We start from the raw sequence: 19,794 nt of genomic DNA on the forward strand, positions 1-19,794 counted from the left end.
TGCACTCCAGCCTGGGCAACAAGAGCGAAACTTCATCTCGAAAAAATAAAAAAAATAAAATAGAAAACACTATGAAATCAATATGATGGATTCATTTGTTTTTATCTGTGCTTACTTCCAATGTTGCATGCAAAAAAAAGTCGCTTTGTGCAGACACAGAAAAGAGATCTGAAGAATTCAAAGGCTTCTCAAATCAATATTCAAGTGATGTTACTGCCCAAGGTAACAAAAGATAACAGTGACACATTTGAGAACACAATATGGGTTACTTCTCCATTTCACCATGGTGTACGCACAAGATAAAGCCAAAAGCAACACACCATGTTCTCACTCTCTATTCACAAAACAATTACCTTTTCTTGAGAATTTCATTAATTATAGATCATTAATGAATACATTTGTTCATAAAGATTATCTTTGGTGATGTAAAAAAATTCAAGTCAATAATTAAAATAATCAAGAAGCTACATTTTAAATTTTACTTGGACCAAACCAAAAATAAATTTCAAATCATCATAGCTTTTCTACTTTGAGGATTCAATTAGATAAGGTGATTATGAGGACAGTCAAAAAGGCCAGTAAATTACTTACTTGCATTAAAATAACTTACATTGAAATATTCTGCTTTGAACAACAATCAAAGGTTAGAGACCACTATGCATATTTGAAAACATAAATGACCAGCAGAGAACATAGAACAACTAATTTTAAATACTTGATTTCTGAAACAGAAAATACAACAGATACCCTCTAGGTTAAGTAAATGTTTAAAACCACATACTGTGCTAATTTACCATACCTTTCCTTCAATGAGCTGCAAATGTGGGGCTTTAGTTGGGCTTCTCACTTCCCTCCTGCCGTCCCCATCTTGTACCACGGCAATGCTGACAAGTCCAGGTCCATAGGCTGAAATCTCCCCAGCAGCGCCAGGAAAATCCTTCATAAGACTTTGGTCCATGACACCAATCGGAGCTAGTAAAGAGTGACAATTTTGGATTATTTTAGGACATATGAATCATAAACTTTATGGAAAATTTCCCCCTTACAGGAGATAAACAGGCAGCATATAAATAGTGAACAGGAACAGAGACATTGCTTGAGCTCTGAAAATACCCACCATATAAAATAAACTAATTTTTAAACGTTTACCAAATTCTGAAAGTATTCTGAATTTTAATGCACTGAGCTACACCAGGGTCTCAAACCACAGGTATTGGAAGGATAAACTCAGATCATGGAACTGGCCAGTAGGAGGAGCTCTAAGACCAGCTGAAACACCAGAGTTAAGGCAAACAGAATTACAAGGTAAGCAGTATTTTAACTCTTTGGTCTCCTACGATTTATTTCTGAATCTATCTATTGCAACAAATGATTATGCAATTATTAAGATGATTTGCTCCAATAAGTTTTAAGAATTGCTCCATAAAGGAACCTTTAATTTGAATACCCTTCAAAAGAAAAAATAGTAAATAAAAGACAGTAAAGGTAAATTTTAGGGATTTTAACTTCTATATTTATGTTTAATATTTTTTATTTTTTAATCCCCTTCCTCAATGCCTTAACACGAACTATGGTAAATCTATACATAGACACCTCCCTCATCCCAGAAAACCTGGCCCTCATGTGCTCTCTTCTTCTCTCCTACAGATAGGCAGAAATGTACATTGTATTGAAAATTCTGTCATAGTGCAGATCAAACCAAGACTACCTCAAACATCAGCAAGGCAAAGTGAGTAGTAGGTGGCAGGACCTCTGTCCATCTGTAGCTCCTCCCCAAACAACAGAACTACCACAAGGTCATTTCACTTTACATAAAAAGTACTCTACGGACACCATGAAGTTTACTCTGGTTCCATGTCCTAAGGGAAGCCTGGTCAACACAAACACCTTTAGACTGCAAGCTCTTGGAGGGCAGGATTGTGTGTGAACTACCATACTGAACTTGAGAGGCCTCAAGCACTTTGAATACATGTATCCCAAGCTACCTCTCAATCCACAGCCTTCACCTGCCCTGTCCAAAACTTAATTCTTTTCCAGTCTTGCCCTTTTCACAAAACGCTCTTCTCATATTTGCTCCCATTTGCTTGAACTGGGAACGTGAACATCTTCCAAGACTCTTCACCCCTCAACACCAGCAAGTCCAACAAGGTCCTTGTATATATTTCTAAATGTGGCCAGTTCTTTCCATTTCTAATTCTACTACCTCACCTTGTGGAGATTTTCCCAGCCCTTAAATACTCACACTTTGAATGCCCATATCAAATCATAGTCAACATTAGAATAAATTTGCATTTTACATTAAGTATAGTTATTTTCCAGCGGTTTTTGTTGTTGTTGTTGTTGTTGTTTGTTTTTGAGACACAGTCTCGCTCTGTCACCCAGGCTGGAGTGCAGTGGTGCAATCTTGGCTCACTGCAACCTCCATTTCCTAGGTTCAAGCGATTCTCCTGCCTCAGCCTCCTGAGTAGCTGGGATTACAGGCACGCGCCACCACGCCTGGCTAATTCTTTGTATTTTTAGTAGAGATGGGGTTTCACCATGTTGGTCAGGCTGGTCTCAAACTCCTGACCTTGTGATCTGCCCTCCTTGGCCTCCTAAAGTGCTGTGGTTAGAGGTGTGAGCCACCGTGCCCAGCCTCCAGCAGTTTTTTTTAATAAAGAAACTTCTAACAAGATCTAAATAAGTTTCCCTTGGAAAGTATATGGCTATGATTAATTCTTTTGCTTACAATTATGATTTCTACACACCTATTATACATACTCAGAAATTTTGCAAAATGAAAAAAATCTGACCTAGAAATGGCTTCAAATGTAATGATATTAAAATTTGAATATCAAATTAAAAGTTATTAAAGTTGACAAAATGCTGACTTTGCATACTTTTAAACACTTATTAATTTCAGCATGCAGTTTCTTGTATTTTGAAGCCGATACATTTATTCAGGTCTTAAACATCTGAGAAGCTTGTAGGCCCTGGCAGAGCCCAAGATACCAAATGGCTAATTGGCCTACTCCCACTAAAGGGAAGACCACCATCGCTTTCACCTGGACCATTCCTAACCAGCCTGCCTGCTTCCTTGCTCAATCTAATTGTTCTCTTGCATCAAATGATTTTTTTTTTAAAAGATAACGCTGTGCTCTTGCGGGCACATAAACCCACATAAACCCTTCAATGGTTTCCTAGAGCATATGGAATAAATAAAAACCACATTCTTCACCATGGCCTCCAAGGCCCTGCATGATCTGACCCAGGCTTACCTCTCCCGCCACTTCCTAAGCTCTGACTGCACTTGCCTTCTCTCTGTTCCAGGAATGTATCCAGCTCTCCCTCACCTTATAGCTTCATCGTTGCCGCCTCTGCTACCTGGAATGCTTTATTATTAAATATCTCTTGTCCTTTCCTTGGCTGCCTCCTTCTCATCCTTCAAGTCTCAACTGACCTGGTTCTTCCTCAAATAGGCCTTCCTTCCCTGATGATCCTATTTAAGTAACGTCCCTGTTCATTTTACTTTCCACCTTCAGGAAATCACTTGGTTCCTCAACCCCCAAATGCATCTTGGTTGTTGGTTCTCTTAAATGACTGATTTGTCTTCTTTGGGGTTTGATTTTCTAATCTCGGAGGGGACTCCCTGTCCTAAAACAGCTGTTCTAGATTGATTTTCATTTTGATATTTGATCTTTAGATTGAATCCCACTTTTCACTTGCTATGTAATCATAAGAGGATTTATTTTAATTTGCCAAACTTTAAAGTGAGGCTAATATACCTAAATTATTCTAGCCTTACTTAAAAAGTAAACAGGAAAAAGAAAATACAATACATGAAGACTACAACAACAAATGGTATGTTGATAAGGAGTGGTAAAGAAAATAAAAGCTCAGTGCCAGGTTACAGCCTAGCTTTGCTCTGGGGGAAAAAACGGAGAATATAAGCCCTAATCAAAGAGTTCACTGGCTGTCTGGTCATGTATTGGCGTTAAAAGCCTCCTATTTTTCACAATAACACAATAATCCTTTTGATGACTTACCCATCTGATGAATTACGGCCTCCAAAACACAAAGAGAAAAATAATGGATTACTGTGCCATGTTTGTTGTTTTCACTTGGAAAAATCATTGTTTTCAGATACAGACCTCCTGTAACCCTCTGCACTAACTGCCCATACAAGATGGTGGATTTCCTTGAGCACAGTTTGTATACCTCAAAGAAAATGCTGTTTTACTGCTCTTTTTAAATGCTAAACTTTGCAATATAAGAGTTATACAGCCTCACAGTTTCAAACAAATGCTGAAAACAGACAGTGTTCCAGAAAGAGCAATCATTTCTCTCAGGGTACTAAACAACAGTGACTGCATTTATTCGGCACTTGTATAAATTCTCTGTGGCAAGGGGCAAGGCTTGGGAAATATTTACATGGGTTGGCACATTTTTCAGATTTACTTGGAAAAGTGCTCAGTTGTTGAAGACCTAAAAGATACTTTAGCAGTGATAGTACATTAACAATCAACTGAATTTAAATCATTTCCACAATTCTGGAAATTTGTTTAAAGCACAGTTCACCACCCCCTTGCACATTTCAGGATTTAATAACTATATACCAAAATCCCAACCAACAAATCCTGGCAAATATCTCTATGTGTCCACCTGCATTTGTTTTCCAAGTTTTTCTTCTAGAAAAAGCAGATGAAGGCAATCCATATGAATCCTTCACTATTAAGAAAGCTTTTTCATCTGTTAGCATTATTTGATCTGTTTTACTCCAATTATTTAAAATATAAGTTGTTCGAGCATATATTTCAGAAAAATACAATAGACAAGAAAAAATGTTTCTGCTAATAACTAGTAGTAAAATACAATTTTCAAATTTAGTATTATTATTATATATATATTTTAGTTCAATCAACCAAAAATGTTGGAAAACTATTTCTTTGGGTAGAAAATCATCCATACTAATCATTTTCTATTACAAAGAAAGAATATTCCTTCACAAGGCATTCTAATATAAATTTAACCTTAGCTCTTTTATAGAAAACCTATTATTAACCCATTTTGGACCAGGTAATTTATATATATATTTTTCCATGTGTAGTTTATATAAAACTTATTTCATGTGTAGTTTATATAAAACTACAAAATGTAGCTAATTAGAATTCTAATAGAAAAAAATTCACATTTATACATATTTTCCCTTGGGCTAAAGAACAAACAAACACATTATATTTACTTTTTGTTAAAATGCTGTATTTAAAATGAATCCTTTGAAGCTACTAAAGCTTTCTCATAAGATGGAAAGTTTGGTAAGTTGTTTCACTCATGAAAATTTGCTGATGCAGGGAATGTTTTATGTTCGTCTGGATTAAGGTTCATATGCTACCATACGAAAAAATCCTTAGAATTACATTTTGCCATTAATTAAAAGGTTCAGGAAATTGAACCACATAAAACACATCATGATCAAGAGAAATCAGTAAAACATATGTGTCCAACATCTCATAAATGAGAACTCTTAACAAATATTTGTGTGCACTGACAATACAGGTTGAGTATCCCTTATCTGAAATGTTAGGGACCAGAAGTGTTGCGGATTTCTAATATTTTTTGTATTCTGAAATATGCAATATATATACTTAGCAGCTGAACACCCCAAATCTGAACATATGAAATCTGAAATGCTCCAATAAGCATTTCCTTAGAGCATATGTCAGTGCTCAAAGGCTTTCTGATTTTGGAGCATTTCAGATTTTGAGATATGGAATGTTCAACCTGTTTTAAAACAAAAAAAAAGAAAAAAGTGTGACAGCTTCAAAAAAGAGTAACAACTCTAAAACACAACAAAATTATTCTCTTGTAGGTGTAAGTAATAGCATTTTATTTACTCGGGAAAAAATGGCTATCCCTGTAGGGTATTTCTGGTGGCTTTATTAACTGGATTAACATTTTCTGACCTCATGGGATTAGAGAAAGATGAATGAAAATCAAAATTATCATAAATGTGTTTACCTCCATCTAGACTCCTGGAGACCCGTTTACTAGAAGTGCGCTCAAAGTGTGGTGCTGGCCTATCTATGAGGGTGCTGGCCTGGCGGGTCTGTGCTTGGGTGCGGCCACTATAGCGAAATTTGGACCCCAAGGTCAGGAACTTGGCTTTTGGTGGCTGCTCTGGAGAAACAAGCCTATGGGAGGAAAAAAAAAAAAAAAGAGAGAGAGAAAGGGGAAGCAAAATTAGACTTTACGGAATTTTTTAAAAAAACTTTAAAGCTATGTACTTTCATATCTCATTTTAAGTATGATTACTCAAAAACTAAACTTTCTAAAGAACATTATTTATAAACCCTCCTACACACACAGCTTTATGATGGTGATGAGTAAATCCACATTCATGTATTCATGAATAATGTTCTTCTCCACCTAAGCAAAGAAACAGCTGTTCTCAGTATATCAAAGGTTATTTATTTGTATTAGCTTAAATCATTTATATAAACACATGTCTGAATTTTTGCTTCTAGCTATAAGCGCCAAGTAACAATCCATTACCATTAGTAATTCTTAATATTTATGCCTATTTCTCCTGGGAAGAAAACATCTAACTCAGGAATCTGTTCCATTAAGTGATTCTTTCCCATGAAGAACATGCCACACAGTGGATCTGTAGAGATGGCTAACACCCCTTCTTGCCAGCACAATTCTACTGCTTAATCCCTGGGTTCATAAAGAATGAAATCAAACTTTCTTGATGTCAAATATTTCTAGGCTTATACAAAAGCATGTTTTTAGCAAATGGACCAATCTTTTTGGGAGTTCAACTGAAATTATTTTGCTCTCTTTGATCAAAAGTTGACAAATATCTTAACAGAAACATAATCTCAGAGCTCTTAATTTATTAAATAGGAAGACTTTTGTTGACAACTCAAAAACATGAAGAATTCCACCGAAACTTTTCCTATCATTTACTATGGAAGAGTGATTTCTTAAAGAACACTATCATTTCAAGTATTTCTAGACTTTCTGTACAATTTTTTTAGAAATCATCTTCTGCAATAAAGAAAAAAAAAAGAATCCCTGTACAACACTCAGAATGGTGACAGGCTCTATTAAATGCTCCAAGCAAGGGTGTCAGCTTTATTTATTTATTTATTTACTTACTTACTTACTTACTTACTTATTTAATTTTTTGAGAAGGAGTCTCGCTCTGTCACCCAGGCTAGAGTGCAGTGTTGCAATCTCGGCTCACTGCAACCTCCGCCTCCCGGGTTCGAGTGATTCTCCTGCCTCAGCCTCCTGAGTAGCTGGGATTACAAAGGTACATGCCACCATGCCCAGCTAATTTTTGTATTTTTTTAAGTAGAGACACAGTTTCACCAGGTCAGGCTGGTCTCAAACTCCTGACCTTGTGATCCACCCGCCTCAGCCTCCCAATGTGCTGGGATTACAGGCATGAGCCACTGTGCCCGGCCATATCAGTTTTATTACTACATTCTTATTCCACTAGTATCAATCTAGCTGATTGGCTATCAATTAATAGATCTGTTTACAGATTAATGGCTTCAATCTGCAAGCCACCGTAATTTTCTAAAGAAATCATTTGTACCTTTCATGATAAACTGAAACAGAATAAATTCCACTGACCTGATTCAAAGCAATCTATAGACAAAGTATGACTGGCCCTTTGTGTTAGATATATTCTTTTATATAGCTTTGTAAGCAGCGTTATGCAAGGTTTAAAAATTTAAAACTGCTTTTGTTAACCATTATATCAAAAGTTTGCAGGAGCAAATTGGTCTACTTTTAAACTGGAGTCCATGGTACATTAGCAAAAATGAGGAGGCCTGAGGCTTTGCACAGCTAATGCACCTCGGAAACTCCTGCTACAAGAATACAAGAAGAGGACAGCACAGAGGTGAGGAATACAGGTGTCAGAATCAGGAAGCCCGGTCCCCATCTCTGCTCAGATGCCTGGCTGCTGTGCTCCTCCACAGGCACCGATCTCTAAGCATCAGTTGTCTTGCCTAGGGCGAGAAATAGACCACGATATAAAGCAATCAATTCTGTGTCTGACTCTAATAAGTGTTCAATGAATGCTAGCACTTGCCATTTCTGAACAGATTATTGCTTTTTTTTTTTTTTTTTTTATCATTATGTGACAGGGAAAGCTGTTGTCTGCCCAGCTTGGACCTGTGTCATAAATGTCATCTACTAGCTTTATATGAGCTGGCTCATGTTGTCTGGAGGAGAAATTTGTTATGGCTACCAAGAAAAATTATAAAGTTTTCAAAGATTTATATGATCAGTGTAACTTGAGGGATTCAAGCATATTTTATGAGTTATATTTCTCCTCAAAAATTAACATATTAGTCTTGAAAAATAGATATTATCAATTTAACGTCAAGAAAGAATCATGTGTGCCAGCTGATAATTCACATTAAAAATAGCAAACTGTGATACCAAACGAAGAATAATGATAATGGTGAAGATAAATTTTATGATATGCCAGAAATGGTTCTAAGTTGTTTCATGTGTGTTATCTCATTTAATTTTCAAAACAATCCTATGAGGTAGATACTAGTATTACTATCATATATGGATGATGGAAGTGAAGCAGAGAGGTTGGTATCACGGTGACACAGCTCGTATTTGGTAGAACAGTATTAGACCATAAGTCCAGAGCAAAAACCTTAAAGATGAAGGATCTAGATACACAGCTAGCTAAACTGCAGTGAGAGAAAACTGAGGAAACGGAGAAAACAAAGATAAGCAAACTACATGTAAAAAACATGTCCTTGAAGAAAAGTATAAAAAGAGACAAGATACAAGCTAAAGATGGTTAGATGATCAAAGATTTTATATACAAAATCTTATATAACCATATATACATATTTGTTGTTGTTTTTTAAAGAGCAAGATGTGGACATATTTATTGGCCAAAGAACCTAAAGGTACCCACTAGGGAACAAATAATTTACAAAGCAGGATAATTTAAGAGGCACAAAATGAGGGATCAAAGCAGAGGAATGATTATCTCCTCCTTGAGACAGGAGAAGTGGGAAAGAATGAATGGGAGGAGAGAGGAGCGATGCTTCATTAAAGGCAAAAGGGAAGAAGGGAAGGTGCATGAAACCAAGAACACTCATGCACAGCTTCTTCTTTCAGTGACCCACACAGTGGAGGGCATCAGAAGAGGAAGCAGGGGTGCCTAGGGACTCACGAGGACCATGAGCATTTGGAGTGGCAAAGGAAGTCAAAAGACAAATTGCTTGCCTAGCAGCACTGAGGATCCAGCTCATGCTGGAAATTATTTATCTGTAATAGCACTAATCCATAGAGTTGTGCTATTTTTTGTTATATAGAGTAACTGCATGTGTCACAATGGTTGTACTATTTTTAAGGTAGCACTTGGACAGCACAGGTCCAAAACTGGTGAGGTCAGGACACAGGACTAATCCAGGACTAGCAGACAGAGAAGGTAAATGTGCAAAGAGGAGAGTAGTTTGAGGGGGTCAGAACGTTCCTGACAAAGCAGTCAGACCATAGGGTTCAAGTTGGTTTGGGAAAGAAGTTAAGTCAGGAGGCAGCTGATGAGAATATCGAAGTGAAACCTAAGAGGAGGGATAGTGGAAAGAAGAATGGTAGCAGGCATGAGGCAGTGTGGCTGTGGTGGAAGGAAAGGTGGTTAGAGTCAGAAAGTGGAGCTCTAGACAGCTGCAGGGGCAGCTCAGTTATAAATGACAATGCATGGACAGAAATGGACCTGGGAGGGACTGCAGACAAAGGAGATGAGGCAAGGAGGGGAGAAAAGAGTTCAAAGACAGTGGGTTAATGCATCTGCCACATTCCCCACCACTACCACCTCCTAATTCACAGAGGTTACTAAAAGCAATACCAAGCTGTTTTCTTTCTTTCTTAGAAAAAAAGAGAGATGGAGTCTCAGTATGTTCCCCAGGCTGGTCTCAAACTCCTGGGGTCAAGTGATCCTCCCACCTCTGCCTCCTGAGTCAGTGGAATTACAGGCATGTGCGATCATGCCCGGCTTCCGAGCTGTTTTCCTAAAATTACCTGTAGAAAGTATGATGCTCCACGCACACTTTCCATAGTCTTTTCGCTGCCCGGTGGTTTGGCAGTTTGAATCCAATGGTACTCTCAAACTGTTCCAGCTGGAATAAATCCGTAAAACAAATCAGCATATTTCCTTAAGAACTGACTAGAAGTTACTGAAAAGCATGCATTCAGATGTTTCTGTGAGAAGCAATTATTCTTCTCAAAAAAGGTAAATATTGCATATCTAATATAATCATATAAAGATGAATTTCATAGACTGCAATACTATTTTCTACAAAAAGCAAGTAACAACGGCTCACATAAACCAACTATCCTTCAATGTTCACTAAAACTCATCTTATTGCTTTCCTAATGATCACAACTTAATTGATTCAACAAGAAAAAACGAGCCCACACCTTATCACATTTTCTTTTTTGTAAAAAGCGTGATGGTTGCTTTTTTTAAAAACAGACCAGACGTATATATACTGCAATTTTACCATTAAGAACCCTGACCTTTTACAATGGAAGAATAAATAGTTTATTTTCTTAAAATTTTAGAATTAATAGAAAAGAATTTTTAAATTCATGGTCGTAAACAGGCCGACTAACAACAACTGATTAGAAATGTCTTGGCTTACCTCTGCCGGTCTGACTTTAATGTAGAAGTTACTGCGTTTATAGGAAATTTTTAAGATTTTCGGCCAAGCAAAACGATTGATTCGCAGTCTGTCTTTGTAAATGAGAAGTCCATTAGCACACACGCCCAGCTTGATGTCCACACCTTCTGAGTCCTGCCAAGCATAACCCAATTAACCATGGTTAAGAGCTGTGAAAGTTACACAAATCAAGAAGCTAATTAGCTCCCTCAAATCATGATCAGGAATGACAGTTTAACAGGTTTGTATTTAAAGTTTAGTGACAAGTACGCACGTTAATGAAAACTATGGCGCACACACATACATGTTAAATTTATTCATCTTCAGGGATCAGGTGTGATTTGCCGAAGAGTTACGGCAACATGACCATAAGACACAGTGTCCTTCAAAAGGCGTAATGCATATGTTCTCAAGCTCCACTGTAGGAGCTAACAGAGAAGAAAGGAAGCAGAACTAGAGATCCTGAAGATACGGGAAATAAAATGAGCTTTTCCCGTAGGCTAGTCCAGCCTCAGGGACAGTCTGTTGGCCTACCCTAAGATGTGTTCAACCATTTTCCTTTAGGTGCATTTACCTCAGATGGATTACCCTAGCTAATAGCTCTTAAAATTATGCCAATATTTTGCAAAACACCAATCCCTTGCAGATAATTTCTCTTCCAGGCTGACAGTGCTGAAATCTCTGAATTCTTTCAAGCAGTTTTTCATTAACTTAGAATGCTGACATCCAGTTCTCATTAGGCATTCCTTTGGCTGGCACGTTTCAAAGGACTGCAGACTATTCTTGAAGTTATTAATAGTTTTCTTTCCCTAGAGCTTTAATCTGGAATCGATGACAATCTAGAATAATCACAGGCCTAAATTATGTTTTAAAAACCAAACAAATTTACAGGCAAAAGTGAAAACCTGTCTCCTCACATTTCAAGTAGTGAAGATCTAAGATGCATGTATTCAAAACATACAAATTATTGTTTATCTCTAAGAGGAGAGCTGGCTCTCATTCAACATATGTAAAATTGAAGACTACCGCTCAAAGACATTCACATTTTCAGAAATCACAAACAATACGAAACAAATTCTCACAAAAAATGTTGCAACAAACCCCATATTTAGTCTAACTCCCAATTTAATAAAAGGACATTTTGTCTATCTTATTACTCAGAACATTTTGATACCATTTAAATCAGTTTTTTATAAATAAAAGTATAGTATTAGCTAATTGATGCCAGTTGCTTTCTCTGCTGTGACACTTGAGTAATTCATATATACAAATAAAATTACATTAGACCAACTTGAGCCATTTTAAAAAATCCAATCAATTGCTTTACTCACCCTTATCTTGGCAGCCACAACTCTCTCTAGGAATAGACTAAAAAGCTGGGGTGAATCAGGCACAGGTGCCCAAGCAACTTGGCACCAGACCCCATGGTGTGTTTGCCAAAACCATCACTGCCCATGGCCACCGGGAGCAAGGCAGAAGATTGCCCGAGACGGCATGTTCTTACCACAAGTGGGGAGGCAACCCGCATTTGAAACATTGAATGAGCCATCTCTAGTCTGAAGCAATCTTTGGACAGGACAAGGAAGCTATTTTATCTGACTTAAAAATAGACACAACGCAGATTCAAGTAAATCAGTTGATTTTTGTTGTTCTATGTAATTATTTTAGAATTACCAGTATTTGTGTGAATAGAAACGACAGATGAAGGGTAGGAAGTGAAAGAGGAAAAGGCAGGCCTTGATCCTTCACATGTAAGTTATGCCACATGGTATCAAAATCAGAAAAATAAACTAATGGAAAGGAGCACCTTCTCTGCATTGCTCACTGCTCCATGGAGCAATGCATGGGGCAATGCATGGAGATGGCTGGCTTTCAAATGAGTTCAGTATAAAGGGAGTTCTTGCAAAGGATCAGGAGAGAAAGGAAAGGGAGGTCAGGGTGTTTAATATCCAGATTCCCTCCCTACGTGGTCACCTCAGGCTGACTATGTCCCTCTGACAATGGCTCCCCACAAGACGGCCCTCTCCACACATATCTCTCCTTGGGAGTTTTGGAAACCACTCTGCCCTCCCTCCTTCAGACAGACCTAGAGAGATTAGGATAGCTGCAGATACTATCCTGGGGCTACCACGGGTGTCCCGCTTCTCTTATGGTTTCTCTGCACCTTTGTTGAGATTCCTTTTATTTAACTCTCTCCAACTCATCCTAACATGAATATGACATTACAAACTCTTCTAATTAAAAAAAAAAATCTGATTTTAAGGCAATGAAAAATAAAGACACAAAACTTTAAACGACATGAAATATGAAAAGTTCTTTTAAACTGCCACATATATTCTTTTCAATAAGCCACAAATATCTTGCTTATCAAATATTACCTAAGGAGTCTATCGGATGATAAACAGAATGAAGGTTATCTTGAATTTTTTTAGTGTTCTGCTCCTAACTACACAGCAAGAAAGAGTATTATACTTAGAACAGAGTCCACAATTTCTTACTTTTCTAAGAGACAACATTAAAAACAAGAATCCTGAAACCTTACATACAGCATTGCCATTTAAGAATTGGTTTCTAACTAACAATCAACAAAGTAGAGATGCAAGATTTGCATGTGGTAAGAATGGCAGGGTCTAGAGGAGGAGAGGTTTGGGAGCTCTTTTTGGTCTCAAACATATTTTTTCCTTCCTCCCTATTTCTGTTTCTTGGCTAACCTAGCCTGTCCCCATTACATAGAAAATGATCTGAAAAACACTGGAGTGTTAAGACAATCTGTTTCACCTCCTACTAGGATTTACCAGACGGTATCAGGCAGATAGACCATTTAACAATACATGGCTTTAAACAAGTCATTCTCTGCACTGTTTTATGTAGCTGTAAAATTAAAAAACATTCAAACTTTAAATGAGATGGTATACTTGTAAAAAATGAGATGGTATGAAAGTACTTTTTAAAATTAAGGGCATACAGCATCTAGTGGTTAAAAATGATGCTGCCAGAGACTACTTACTGACAGAAAAATCTTATAATAGTAAGTTAAAAAAAAAAAACTAACAAAAATGATGCTCATAGTATGACCCCATTTTTAGAAGGCATGTGAATTCAACTGCCCAGGGGTCTAAAAAAAAAAAAAGAAAAGAAAAAAGGTATTAAGAATGCTTATTTCTGCATAAAAAGATTTAAGTGATCTTTATTTCCTTCTGTTTGCCTCTATTTTCTATGATGAACATGTATTAGTTTTGTAATAAAGAAAAATATTTAAATAAAGGAAGCCACTGAGGAGAAAAAGAGTGCTTTGTAAATATGAAGTATGATTAATAACACAAATGCAAGAATTATTAATCAGAGGCCTAGGGAGGAAAGACATCATTGTGTGGGGAGCTTTCCTAGAGATTTCTCAAATCATATAATCTGGGCTTCTAAACAACATCTACAGATTGGCAGGGTCTTTTAAAAGCAGGCTACCATAAGGAAATGTTGACTCTGGACATATTTTTTAAAACCAAATTCATATTTCACCTTGCTTGTCATTCTCCTCGACTCTCCCCACTACATAATCATCTAAACTAGAACCATGATGTAAGTGATATTGTTACTGGCAACCAACTATAGCGATGTGCGCTTACACATTTCACTTTTTGACTTATTTCTTTATGAACAGGATTTGTCTATTCATAACTCATACCCTGTGACTCTCGTTAGTATACCGAACGTTTATGCTTGCAAAAAAAATGTATGTTACTACTGCCTAATTTATCGTGTAAAGTGGCCTATGAACTTCTGTTGTGTTTTATGTTTCTCAAATCCCCCCTTAAAAACGTAAATAAATGTCTTTTAAATAACTTTTAAAATTATTTTTTCGAGCATTATATTTTTGAGATTTTGATCTTTTGGGATTACGGTGTTCAGGATTATGACTGGCTTCCCATGTCCCCATTGTCCCACTCTTTTACCATCTTTCAAATTAGACTGAAGGTGCTTTATCACCCAGAGCCTGGGCCCACCTACGTTATCTTTCACAAAGTACAAAACACACCTACAGGGAAAAGACCAACTCTAGGGCTCCTTCATCAAACATAAGCTTTTTGGAAAGTGGTCCCATGCTACTTTTGCCCTTTTATGGTTGCTAAGGTCTTCTCTCCTCTCCCAAGACAGAGGTGGGAGAGGGAACTGGGACAGACACAGCACTTGGCCTAGCAGAAGCTGCAATGCAAAATAAACCAGGATAAGCGGTGAAAAAAAAAAGGCTGACAAGGTGTGTCATAGTAAGTACCTATGAAAGGGCATTAATTAAAAAGACTGGGAAAACAAGTGGTAGAGACAGAATACATGGTCCCTCCCACAACCAAACACCCCATAATTAGTCACCAAGGAAATATTCCAGAGACCCTCAATTGAAAGCAAATATCCTTTTCCCAAAAATAAGCTGTGCTATCCTGAAACTGGAGCCCTCTCAAAACCTCAGTCAACAGACTACTATGATGCTACTCCCCGTTACATTTACAGTACCTTGGCATGATGTAGGTCAACACCATACATGGAAAGCCTCTTTGCATTTTCTAAGAACTGGGAATCAGCTTGTGCTGGCGATAAGCCCCTGAGAATCAAAAGAAACAGTATTATCTTATTAATGGATGCAGAGCAAATGTAGTCAGAATGGGAGGAGTGTCTGTGCTCAGAGGGTTTGGAGGAGAGAAAGTTACCCAGCCAAGTTTGCAGAAAAGTAGGAAATGGTAAGAAAACAACTCTCAACCTCTAACATTTTTCCCTTAAGATCCTATAATGTAAACCTGCTAAACTGCATGGAGGTATACCTCCACTCTTACCCATTTTATCTTAAAAAGTTGCTTTTGATTATTTTCACTGAGGAAAAAAGCCCCAGCAATAGTGTACAACATAAGTACTGGAGAATAAAAAACAGTGATCTCATCTTTCTGTGATAAACACATTCTTACTCCTTCATTTTATTTCACTAGAGTTGATCATAATAAAGATTGAAATTACTTGTATTTGATTTTATACCTATGATAGGTAACACAAATCAATTGTCCATACTAAAATTATTTCCATTCCTATCTATATACCCAACTAAGTAAACTTTAAGCTCCTAAAGAGCAAGATCATGTCCCATTAATTTTCACATTCCCCATGGCATGTCAGTACCTGATATTTCACATCAGAATTATACAACAAATGTCTATTGAGTAGAATTTAAGTAAATTAATAAGAAAACATTTAGAGTCAAATACCATATTTTTTTTAAAGAAAAATCAATGAATGTGGCCTGTTTAAAAACCTAATTTTTGAAAGTTCCTTTCAGATCACTTTAGTAATATTTAATAAAACTGTAATTTTGCAATATAGAACAAATTATCATTTTGTAGCTAGCGTTATAAAAATTTGTGTAAAAAGTCCATTTTCTTTTCACACACATATAAATGTTCTAGAAGCGTAATATGGTATTAATGTAATGTTAAGTAATCTTAGCTAAACCAACGGGTCATCTTCCAACGGAATCACCTGTACATTTCAGTTACTATTCCTACGTCCATCACCACCTACACTGGTAATTCAAATCCCAATGCCTCCTTATCTCCCTAGCTTTCTTACCACATATAGTAATAAGGACAATTATAAGGCAGAAGAAATATAAAGTAAATGTCAAATAAGTATGTGGACATGTTTGTCTCCAATGTGTATGTGTTAGGGGGATAGGGAGAAGAAGGTGTCATGGGGAAAAGTACATTTTTCCAATACATGAAAACATACAGTCTTACAAGTATAGTTTCTCAGACGGTAGTTATAAAAATAATGAAAGGATACCTCAAGGGCTCCACGTTGCCTTGATTAGTGCTAGGTGAAACTCCAAAAGGAAAAATTGGATAATCCTGTAAATCATGCTCAAATGTCTAGTAAGTGCTACAAGAGAAGCTATTTAAATCTCCCATGGCCATTCTCTCCAGTAAGCAAGGCAACAGACCTGTGGGTTTTGTGCAGCTCTGCCACCTTCTCTTCCAGCTCCTTAGTCTGAGTAGGGGCAAACTGGAATTCACTGAGGTCGATGCTGCCATGTTCTTCTGGGTCATAGTCACCAAGTTCAGCCTGCAGGGTGTAGGATCCCAGGAGAGCATGAGTCACAAAAGAGCAGGGCAGGCGGCCAGAGGCAATGTCCTGCCGGAGCTGAAGGCACAAGAAGTATCTGTGAGGAGCAGAGGGAGAAATGGGTCAGGGGAGAACCATTAGGTGAGATTGGAGCACTCACAGTCCTTAAAAGCTAGTACCCCTTTGAAAACAAATATACAATATAGGCACTCTTCATATAAACAGCAAAAATCATCTTCTCTAATAAAAAGCCTCAACTTGCTCCTTGGGCTTCTAAACTTGTGGCTTATTTATAGAAACTGAGTCCAGAAGGCTAATTTATATGTGTGTGTGTATATATATAAGAGTTTTATAACTGAAGTAAAAATTTCAATCACTTAAACTGTCTCCTTGGATTTCAAACTGTAATAAAAATTAGCACGCCCCTCAAAAGATGTAAGGATTAATAGATTAAAAAAAAAAACTAGTCTTAATCATTTGTAAGAAAAGCTAAGGTCACCCACCCTTTATCATCTTGACATTTCTTCTTTTCCAGAAACACCTTTAACAACAGTTATTGGTAAATCTCTACTTTGAAGCCCTTACTTTTCCATTTACCCCATTTAAAGCAGTAGCTAGCTCAGTTTAGCAGAAAAGGCCTGGGCTTTGAAGCCAGGAAGACCTGACTCTATATGACCTTGAGCAAGTTAATTTACTTGCCTAAGGGTAATTTCCCACCTATAAGACGCTAAGAACTCTACCTCCCTTTGAAGATGAGCATGAACATTAGATAATATAAATAAAATATCTGGTACATGCTTAAGAATCAATAACTAGTAGCTATAATAATTAGTGGCTATAATGTTTCTCATTCAATGTTCCATGTGGCTCACTACGGTTATAAAAGAATTTCCGTTTTCCATGAAATAAAATGCAGAAACATGTCATATATACCCTGTGGGTTTCCCCCACCTTTTAAGCCCCACTATCAATTCCTCTTGGTAACATTTTAAAATGTGATTTCTACTCTTTAACTTCACCACTTGCTATGGTCACCATGGATCCTCCCAAATCAACAGCAGAGTCCTCATTCTTTAAGACCTTTTAGAGACTGGCATTCATACTGGCAGCTGGCCATCTTAGTCCTGTGGACACTTGCCTGGCCTGGGTTTTAGGGCCCAATCCTCTTCCTGCTCTCTACCCTACACAATCAAATGGGGAGTGCTGGCCTCTGGTCCAGGCCTTGTTGTTACTGGGTCAGAGAGCACAACCCAGCACATGGGGCCAGGTCAGTTCAGAACCTGGATTACCACCCAAATACATCATCAGGCAGGGCGGGGACTCTGTTTATCATCACTATAGTCCCACAGTTACTGGAGGGCTTGCCACATGACAAGTGCTCGGTAATTGAGAGACTGAAAGTCTTCTCGCTATCACTACAGTATTTTGAGTATTTTATGCCTTGCAGATCTCCTTTTAAGGAGGATTATATGTTTCCTTGACCCGTAGAAAAACATAAGCATTAACAGTACATACTTCAGACAACTGAATTTTCAACCATGGGTCCAGGTTATCCTCAAATTCTCTAATAAACAACAGTGATGTTTCTCCACATTTTATGGAAGTTTTAGAACCTAAACACAAAGATTTCATCTTGTTGCTTCCTTTTATATTATTGTCTCTGCTTTTCACATTGGTCCTTTCCTCTGTTTTCAAAGCCTAAGTCTAAATCCTAAAAACTTCAAACAAAAAATGGCATGAGCTTCCTGAATTACCCAACTGTACCTTCACACAGCACTATGAAGCATTCTTCAAACATTATTCGAAATAGTGTTCTTGCCCTTCTCAGAAGCCTACCCCAGCTTCTAAATGTTCACTCAAGTCATGGTGAAGATTTCGATCATGACATTTAAGCTTCCAGGCCACAAGTACAGGCAGGTGGCTGGTCTCAGGCTGCACCACTGAGAACTTTAGTTAGCTGAGCAGACTATATTGTTCCTCCCACTAGACAGGGAGACTGTTCAAGTTCCATTTATATGGAAAACCAAAGTACTGATGCTACAAACTTGCAATCACCAAAGGATTATCATTCTCCAAACAAATTACTGCCAGGAGGAGTGTATGTACAGAGTGTTGGGTCACAAAGCCCCAGTTACATGCATTGTTCAGAGGCACCCCTGCAGTGAAGCTCTGCATCCTACACATGCCATTCGGTCAGGTTTTATGCTCTAAGTAGCTCACTGTGCAGTTACAAAAGCTACTATTTATTATTTACTAGGTGAAGCTAATTCATTCAGAGCTTAATTAGTGCATTCATATTCAGCAACAAGTAGTTTAAAAAAAAAAAAAAGGCCGGCCTGCTATGTACCCAATATTGGAAAGAAATTTCCATCCTTGCTATTTCACATGGATATTATGAACTCTTAACCACTTCCACAACTTGATGTCTGACAACAAAACTGGCCCAGCAGAAAGCATCAAAGATACAGGAACTAAAGACAAGCAGACTCTTTTGCTAAGCCCCTCTAGTTTTCTAAAAGTCATGCACTGCACACAGTTGTACTTGACCATGTAAGTAACCTTTTAAAAATATGGTATATAAAAATCATCCTTTAAAAAAAAAAATCAACCCTTTATACTTCCTCTCACCAAAGCTAAGAAATGCTATCCCTGGTACCCAGTGTAATCAGGCTAAGATTTCAAGCTACTTGTTGATTGATTCACAATGTTTCTGGTACCCAGTCTAACTGGGCTAAGATTTCAAGGTACTTGTTGATTCACAATGTTTCTTGGTTGCCATTCAGGTACTCAGAATCAATAAATATTCTCTTGCTCCTAAACAGAATCCTTTCTTTGCAATTCAAGTGTATGTTCTTATAGCTCACACAATCTCCAAGGAGATGGAAATGAACTAGCTATTGACTCTACATAAGAAATCCTACCTTGTTTGGTTCTGGAGGGAGAAGAGAGAAAGAAATTACCAGTTCAATTGGACTTTTAAAATAATTTCATTTTGCTAACCTCATAT

The 19,794-nt window shown here is 37.4% G+C and overlaps 1 protein-coding gene across 23 annotated transcripts in view, besides 2 other annotated features; it reads right to left on the minus strand.

The window, feature by feature from the left end:
• Positions 1-19,794, minus strand: part of EPB41L2 (erythrocyte membrane protein band 4.1 like 2) — a 223,899-nt gene that overhangs the window by 44,950 nt on the left and 159,155 nt on the right. For all 23 annotated transcript variants that reach the window (NR_146620.2, NM_001135554.2, NM_001350314.2 and 20 more), the window contains 6 exons: positions 16,666-16,884; positions 15,195-15,282; positions 10,671-10,823; positions 10,048-10,145; positions 5,998-6,170; positions 800-972 (listed from right to left, as the gene is read on the minus strand). Coding sequence is in view for 22 of the 23 variants with exons in the window: in NM_001135554.2 (NP_001129026.1) it covers positions 800-972; positions 5,998-6,170; positions 10,048-10,145; positions 10,671-10,823; positions 15,195-15,282; positions 16,666-16,884 (904 nt within the window). In the remaining variant the exon portion in view is untranslated. The remainder of the gene's footprint in view (positions 1-799; positions 973-5,997; positions 6,171-10,047; positions 10,146-10,670; positions 10,824-15,194; positions 15,283-16,665; positions 16,885-19,794) is intronic.
• Positions 17,960-18,129: an enhancer, noted in NCBI's record as "experimental_89732 CRE fragment used in MPRA reporter constructs". NCBI's record gives its function as "activates a minimal promoter by MPRAs in K562 erythroleukemia cells, with activity observed for both the introgressed and non-introgressed 6:131223481 or rs17059801 variant alleles {active_cell/tissue: K562}" and the evidence as "EXISTENCE:reporter gene assay evidence [ECO:0000049][PMID:34662402]".
• Position 18,045: a transcriptional cis regulatory region, noted in NCBI's record as "Neanderthal adaptively introgressed variant 6:131223481 (GRCh37/hg19 assembly coordinates) or rs17059801 in the experimental_89732 CRE". NCBI's record gives its function as "modulates activity of the experimental_89732 enhancer by MPRAs in K562 erythroleukemia cells {active_cell/tissue: K562}" and the evidence as "EXISTENCE:reporter gene assay evidence [ECO:0000049][PMID:34662402]".

This window comes from Homo sapiens, chromosome 6 (genome assembly GCF_000001405.40).
Source record: "Homo sapiens chromosome 6, GRCh38.p14 Primary Assembly".
In the NCBI taxonomy this organism is placed as follows: domain Eukaryota; kingdom Metazoa; phylum Chordata; class Mammalia; order Primates; family Hominidae; genus Homo; species Homo sapiens.